The sequence below is a fragment of the Homo sapiens genome, chromosome X, assembly GCF_000001405.40.
Source record: "Homo sapiens chromosome X, GRCh38.p14 Primary Assembly".
NCBI classification, from domain to species: Eukaryota; Metazoa; Chordata; class Mammalia; order Primates; family Hominidae; genus Homo; species Homo sapiens.
Genome location: NC_000023.11, coordinates 47,748,543 through 47,756,451, shown reverse-complemented (window position 1 = coordinate 47,756,451; position 7,909 = coordinate 47,748,543). Strand labels below are relative to the sequence as shown.

The 7,909-nt window shown below is 46.0% G+C and overlaps 3 annotated features.

Annotated features, from left to right (window-relative positions):
• Positions 4,453 to 4,502: an enhancer, noted in NCBI's record as "active region_29597". NCBI's record gives its function as "activates an Ori minimal core promoter by ATAC-STARR-seq in GM12878 lymphoblastoid cells {active_cell/tissue: GM12878}" and the evidence as "EXISTENCE:reporter gene assay evidence [ECO:0000049][PMID:35858748]".
• Positions 4,563 to 4,642: an enhancer, noted in NCBI's record as "active region_29596". NCBI's record gives its function as "activates an Ori minimal core promoter by ATAC-STARR-seq in GM12878 lymphoblastoid cells {active_cell/tissue: GM12878}" and the evidence as "EXISTENCE:reporter gene assay evidence [ECO:0000049][PMID:35858748]".
• Positions 7,056 to 7,255: an enhancer, noted in NCBI's record as "active region_29595". NCBI's record gives its function as "activates an Ori minimal core promoter by ATAC-STARR-seq in GM12878 lymphoblastoid cells {active_cell/tissue: GM12878}" and the evidence as "EXISTENCE:reporter gene assay evidence [ECO:0000049][PMID:35858748]".

Below are 7,909 nucleotides of genomic sequence, written 5' to 3'. Positions count from 1 at the left end.
GATGCAGAATTTCCAATTGATCTTGCAGCATGGCTTGCTACATGGAAGAGATGAGATGATCGGGGTAAGGGTAAATGCATTCTGGGATTGCCTGAAAGGGAAAGAATGTGCCCCCTAACCAGGGGCCTTATTGGTACAGTACAGGGAGTCCATATGATGGGACAGAGATTAACAGTGTTCCCAGGGCAGTTAGTTAAATGGGTATACTGGGAAGAAGAAGTGGAGGTGGAGAGTCTAAAGTTCTACTCACAGTGTCTTACATAGTATTTACCCTCTTAGGTACTTTCTGGAGTCAAGTCCAGGAAAGAGAATTAATAAAATGTCAGGGATGTGGGCTATTTCAGGACAAGTTAAGGAGTGAGTTCAGATTGATGAAGAGAAAGTAGATGCTATAGAGGAAAGAGTGGTTGCTCACCTGCAGCCCCTTTTCCAGTGAAGGGAATAGCAGATTAGTTTGCAAATGACTCAGCCTCAGAGAATAATCTACCTTACCTGTCTTTGCTGTTCATAGTATTCCTAAGGATAACAGGGAGGTACACATTGCCGAGTACTAAGCCCATGTCCCCCTCATACCTACCTCTTGACAGAGACCAGTTAATTCTGAAGTAATTTACAACAGTCTTCCCTCCCTCAGACTCAATACAACTCTGAGAATCTTCCCATCTCATAGGCACAACCAGCTGTTTCTCGCTGGTTCAACCTATTGTTTCTCATCCATGTAGTTTGACTTTCCAAGTTTCTTGAGGGGAATATGCCAGACTACCTACTTGGCTTCTTGCAATCCCATGATTAAATCCCAGATGAGAAAACCAATGGAAAATTCAGGAAAAGCAAGAATTTTTAACCGAAGAGTTACAAGATATCAATGCCCCCAGTCAAAGATCACCAAGAACATAGCTATACTTGAGTAAGTTGGGTTATTACTCATTGTAGCAGGAGAGAGTGCACATCATGGGGAACCATGGAGCATCTCAATAAGAGGATATTAAAAGGACATATTATAGGACTTGAGCTTTGGTTGGGCAATTTGCTGAAGGGTTCAAAGAAGTGGAGACCAGCTCTAATTGGGAGTTGTCAGAAAGTAGAACAATTCTGTGATTGAGTATCTCAACAAATCTTATCTATAGAGAAGGCAAACTAGATAGAGTGAAGATAAGGCTAAAATTGATAAAGAAGCAGAAGTCATTCATTTTAGCCAAGAAAAGGGGGATATTTAGTATTTTGGGGGTTGTGCAGTGACTTTGTCTTTGTGCTTAAAGAGATAGCTTCTTTAACAAAAAAAATCCCAGTCTGGTCCTCAGCAGGGATATTTCACTGTCACTCTACTCTGTGGAGATGTGGATTTTGGTAGCAGAAGCCGTCATCTAATCAGGGGTCTAACTATGACTGAATGATTACATAACCCTATGGTAGAAGAGACAATGCAAGCCCTGTATGGGGTCTGGTGGTATTTTAAATGGCACCACCAAACCCCAGTGTCAGGCAGCCAAACCAAAACTGAACACATGTTATGCAGTGAAGTAGTTCAATTCCTATGACAAATTAGAAAAGAGTCCTCATTGGGCTCACACCTGTAATCCCAGCACTTTGAGAGGCCTGGCAGGAGGATCACTTGAGCCCAGGAGTTCAAGACCAACCTGGGCAACATAGCGAGACCTCGTCTCTACAAAACATAAAAATAAAAATATTAACTGGGCATGATGGTACATACCTGTAGTCCCAGAAACTTGAGAGATTGAGGTGGGAGGATCTCTTGTGCCCAGGAGATTGAGGCTGCAGTGAGCTGTGATTGTGCCACTGCACTCCAGCCTGGGTGACAGAGTAAGACCCTGTCTAAAAAAAAAAAAAAGTCCTGGCCTTGATGTTGCCATTGCCAACAAGAGCAGCTATTTGGGTTGAGGCCTTAATGAGATCATAACATGGTCAGAAAAATTCAAACGAGTCCAAAGGCAAAGGAATACAGACAGGTGAGAGAACAAACCTAAACAGATAACAGATTTATGCGGTTACTATACAAGGAGTGAAAAGGGAAAATCAGAAAAACTTTTTTGGCAGTACCCATCTTACTCCAGTCAAACACCAATAGAAAAACCCGACCCCACCCATTTCAGCAAGATGAGTGGGGACCTGATCCCCACCCCACCACCTTGCAGAAAGCACAGGGCAGCACTCTCATCCCCTGCTGGGGTAGTGTCAATGGGACAGAGCAGGGAGTTAATATTTCATCCTCTGCCCAGTGGAAGCATGTGGCACTCTCACTCTCCTGCCAGGTTAGTGTCACTAAGGTGGGGTGCAGATCTGATCTTACATACATCCCCCTGCCTGGAAAAAGCAGGCAGTCCTCCAATTCTTCCACAATGGTAGTATCAGGGAGGTCCGGTGTGAGCTGGGCCTCCACTCTACCTGGTATCAAAAAGACTGAACAATGCAGCAAAAGTCAGGGCCAGTCAGAAATCCACTTGCCTCCCACCCCTTGGGTCAGTGGGGCCCAGTGGGGCCCATCTAGAAGGAATGAGACTGAACAAGGCCACCACTTGGGTGTCAGTGGATCCCAGTTAGGACCTGAGAATCAAGCCACACATGGCATCAATGAGGCAGAATGAAGTGGCGGGAAACAGCTAGAGGACACACTGTTTTCCTCCACCCTTGCCATCAGCAGGGCCCAATAGGGAGCTGAGCTTCTGCTCCCACCCTGCAGCAACAGGCAGTGTGTCAGATCCTGCTTTTCCTCTCCCTCGCATCAGCAAGGCTCAGTGGAGATGACCTTACACATTGACATGTACTCAATGAGGCGGTGCAGATGTCCCCAAAGTCAAGGTGAAGTTGTATTTCTGTGCATTGGCACATCTCTTTGCCAGGGTGGTGAAAGCAGGAACCAGCAGGAAGCTAAGAGTACATACCCAACTAATCCTTGTGCTACATCTCAACAAGGTGTTACTCATACGAGTGGGTTTGATTGCTTGGCAGTGACTGTCCAATGACCAAAACCAAGGAGGACTTAACAAGAGGATTTTATTACTTGCAACAAGGAGGACACTGGGGATAATTCCTCAAAGCAGCACCTCCTGGAACGAAGGTGAAAACAAGGGCCTTGGTGGGGCTGGTTAGCCGAGTCATTGTATGTAGAGGTGGAGTAAAGGCAGCACAGGTGCAGTCGTGAACATGCTTCCGCATAGAAGGTGGCAAATAAGCTCCTCCCTGAGCAGGGTTTTAAGTATGCCAATGAGGAGAGTTGCCAAAGTCATCTCTAACTCAGGCATCTCTGGATCCAACTGTTTTTGTTTGTTTGTTTGTTTGTTTTGCTGGGGCTGATCTTCTTCATGGAACTTTTTGAAATAAGAACCCAAGGTGCAACAGTTAAAAATGGATACTTTTTCACAGTACTGACTCCATGTTAGAGAAAAGTTTATTTGTTTGAATATAATTATTACTTTGCTTGAGTTTGTAGATTATTCAGGAAAAACAGCCTCAGGAAACATGACCTTCAATAGAGATAAAAGAAAAGACGCTGACCAACAACTCTGGGACATGCTGACCAGCCTGATAAGAATATACGCTGATAGCGCCTGCAGAAGGCCACAAAACATTGACCAAGAAAGCAATGATTAACTGCCCACTCGAGACTGCACGCGTGCAAATGTTTTGATCATCATTTCCCCTAATTTCCCTTAAACCTCCCTGATCCAGAGACACAACTCGGTAAGGTGGTCTTTGAATCTTTGAATGCTAGTTCACTGCCTCCCCTAGGTTGCTGGCTTCTCAAGTAAAGCTACCTTTCCTTTTACCAAAGCTTGGCTTTTGAGCTTTTGGCTTTCAAATAACTAGTGGCCCAGGCCTGAGTTTGGTTACATACTCCAAAACCCAGGGACCCTGGGTTGCAAAGAGAGTGCCTACTGAAAAAGAAGATTAAAACTCAAAACGGAACAGCTGTGACTGAGCTGTGGCCTAGTGAAGTCATTGGACACTGTGATGATTCAGGCTATTTGGATGTCAGAAGACACGGATCAGGGCCAGGTAGAGTAGAAAATGCTGTTCTAGGGGGTGCTGATGGAGTCAGTAGACGTTGCCCTTGCTGTTGTTGGTGATTCACAGATACTGTGCTGGGGTCCAGTAGGGAGTCACAGAATAATAATGTGATGGAGGCTAATGATGATAGCGACAAGAGGCAGCCAAATGCCTAGGAAGATAGGGGTGGGTCCCTGGTGAAACCCCACCTTCAAGCTGAGGACAGTCCCAGGTAAAACCTTGGACCAGAGTGAAAACATCTGTTCCTGTTTGCCTGCCCCTCCCCTATTCTGAGCCCATGAAAGCCCCAGACTCAGACACATTGCAGCGGAGGGTGGGGGGTTGGGGGGCTTTCCTGCCTTCAGGTAGGGGGTCCACCCACGTATCCCCTCTCCACAGAAAGCTATTTCATCACTCATCCCTCAGTAAAACCCCCCACCTTGCTCACTCCTTGATAGCACATCCTCATTCTTCTTGGATGCTGAACTAGGGTTCAGGACCCACCTAGTGCAGGTACCCATAAAGGTTGTTGCACTGGCCCTTTGCCCTCGCCAGCAGAGGGCAGCCACCCCACATGACGGGGCCAGGAGCCAGCTGAGCTGCTAACACACCGCTGTTCAATGGGCTGTGGACAGCAGAACTAAAAGAGCTTATCCCACACTCACTTGCTCATGTGCTCCCTCCCACAAGGGGTTGAGTGGCACGGGCTGAGTAGAGAGGGTGCCCTTGCTGCGAGTCTGGCAAAGGGGCTGAGAGAAAATTCCTGTGTCAATGAGTTCATCATTAGCCCCCATCACACTATTATTCTGTAACAATAAGGCTAGTGACAATAAGGCTAAAAGTATTGGGTGCATCTGCTGAGCGCAATTGACAATCTAGAAAATGATAATAAAAGGCAGAGAGTTGTTAACAGGCAATGAAACCAAAGTGTTTCAGGGGTTATGTTGGGGGAAAATTGAAGGGGCGCAGAGGGTGTTGGGAGATCATATAGTGTCCTCAAATCCCTACTGTCCCCTGAACAGCATCTATTGTTTCCCCATTTTCTCCCAGCAGTCTGCTGTCCCGCTATTTCCTTCAGCACACCATTTGCTGAACTTCCCGTTTTCCTCCATCACGGTGTTTGTGGAAAACCTCATGAGGTCCTTTCACTGGGCCTCACTGTTATTAGAAAAGAGGGTCCCGATCCAGATTTCAATAGCAGGTTCTTGGATCTTGCACAGGAAAGAATTAGAGACAATTCACAGAGCACAGTGAAAGAAGCAAGTTTAGTGGAAACTATTCTGTTACAGAGTAGGGTGTCCTCAGAAAGCAAGAGGAGGAAAGCATTGTCCTTTGTTAGTGTCCCTACTTATAAGAAACTATAAGGAGCTAGAATTAAACTTGGAAAGTGCAGATGTGTTCACTATGGGTAGGAGCAATTGGTGTTATTAATGACCATTAATCCTTCAACCTAAACTTGCTCATTAATGTTATCTTTAAGCAAAGTGGGCTGCATGCTTAGGACATGTGGACATTCTGCTGGCTTGGTGGGAGATGCTCTGTATGGCCGTAAATATTCTGTATTTATAATTGATGGTCAACTTAGAATGTGGCTATTTTCAGAGCCTAAGTATTAACCCTATAGGTGCCTTGTGAGTGCCTAGTTACTCACTCCAAAATGGACTCACTCTAGTCACATTTGATTAAACCAGAGGCCCGGTAAGCAGGGATTCCTGTAACATCAAGATACCCCATTTGCTTTCAGCCCAATGTCTGTTGAACAACTCCCATGGTCACCGTGACCTACCACCCAGATCTCTCTTCAAGGAAAGATGGTTTCCCAGTTATCAGCTGACAGTATTCAGGACTGTAAATCCCTTAAGGAATTGCCTGAGATGCACGGAGCTACCATGCCCAAGATCATGCCCTTTCCTGGGGCAGTCCCCATCCAATGTCTGATCAAGTCTAGGGAATAAAAACTCAGCACAGCAAAGAGCCATTCTAGCTCCAAAGCTCCCTGCAGGATTGGCTAAGGCTGTCATTTGGTCTTCAGCACAGCTCAGCTTCTTCTGTTCACTCCAGCTTCCTTCCACTCTTTCCCACAGGTGTTTCTCCCAAGGGCCCTCCCTAATAAACATCCTGTACTCTAAACTCTTTCTCAGGGTCTGCTTCCTAGGGAACTCAACACATAACAATTAGTATCAGAAGTGCTCTGAGACAGCAAGCTGTGGATGAAATGGAGTTCTGGAACTACATCACCCACTGCCCATCTGAGAAAGAAGTCATCATTATTAGTAGCAGGTGGAGTGCAAACAGCTCCTGGAATAAATAAACAATTCAATTGTTAAAACTCTCACAGGTGGTGAACTGGGCTGGCTACTGGTGGAGGGGGATGCACATGGGGGAAATAGTAACAATCAGGCTAAAAGTTTTTGGTGCCTTTGCTGAGCTCAATTGACAGTCTACAAAACGACAATAAAAGGCACAGAGTGGTTAACAGGCAATGAAACAAAGTGTAAAAGCCTCAAGGGGCTTCCTTGGCAGCAGCATATGAAGAAGCTTTCATGTCCTGAAGTGGAAGGGCAAAGGACACTAAGGACAAGGCTCAGGACTTGGTCAGAGCAGTAGAGTACAAGGAAAGTGAAACTCTCAACTAAGGCAAATCTTCTATGCCAAGGTCAGGGCTCTGACTGGGAAAGGAAGCAACCTTGACACAGGGTACGTCTGGGTTGATGACCTCCAAAATCCTGAATCTCCAGATTCCTTTTATTCCAGTTATTATGGCTATGTTGCAAATTTCTCCAAAACTTAGTTATGTAAAACAACCATTTATTATGCCTACATATTCTGTGGGTCAGAAATTCAAGGACTTGCCTCGGCAGTTCTTGCTTAGGGTTTCTCTTGTGGTTGCATTAGATATTGGCTGAGGCTAAAGTCATCTGTAACGCCATCTGGTCCTGGAGTGTCCACTTCCAAGTTAGCTCATTCACATGGCTAGCAAGTTGGTACTGGCTGTTTATTGGCCAGGAGCCTCAGTTCTTCCCCGCATGGCTCTCTCCACAGGGTTGTTCTCACAGTGTGGCAGCTGGCTTCCCCCAGAGTGAATGATCTGAGAGGTCAAGGAAACAGCTGCAGTGGTTTCTATGACGTAGACTCAAGTGTACTGAATTGGTCATACAGGATCAAGTCCCTAACCAGCGTGAGAAGGGACTATACTAGGGCATGAATACCAGAAGGCAAGGGTTATTACGGTCCATCTTGGATGCTGGTTACCATATCTCTGAACACTGTAAGCCTGCAGAAGTGGCCCATCCCTCCCTGTTAAGGACTATCACACCCCTATGCTGAAGTACACTGCAGCCCCTCCACTGTGCCCCCATCAGGATCTACCCTCACTTCCCCTCTTTGCCACTATACCTATAAATAAGGTTAAGCCACGGGATAACCCACAGATATGTGCTGGGCATGAAAAGGGAGGAAAGAGGCTATACTGCAAAGGCGATGCAAGGCCTGGGCTGCATGTACCAACAAGAGCCGGAGGAGTACATATGGGGCAGAATTTTGAGGGTGCTTGATCAAGAGGGATTCTGAGGGCATTGGATCAAGAGGTGGTGGATGGGAAGAACACAAGAATGGGTAAAAGAGAAACACAGGATTTAACATCTTGGCAAGGACTTCAGGAAATGATGTAATTCACCACTGAGATGGTTCCTTGCAATATGGGGCAAGCAATAATCTGTGCTAAGGGATGTTGAAATGCCAGATTTGCCATGGCAGTTAGTGGGAGAAGGGATGAAAAGTCGCAGGGAAGTGGACCTGCTGGATACACTACCAGAAACTGGATAATTACACTCCACGAGAAGTCATATTTACAAAGGCCATTAAGAATTTTCAGGTGAGAGGGACACCGACATCACTAAGTTCA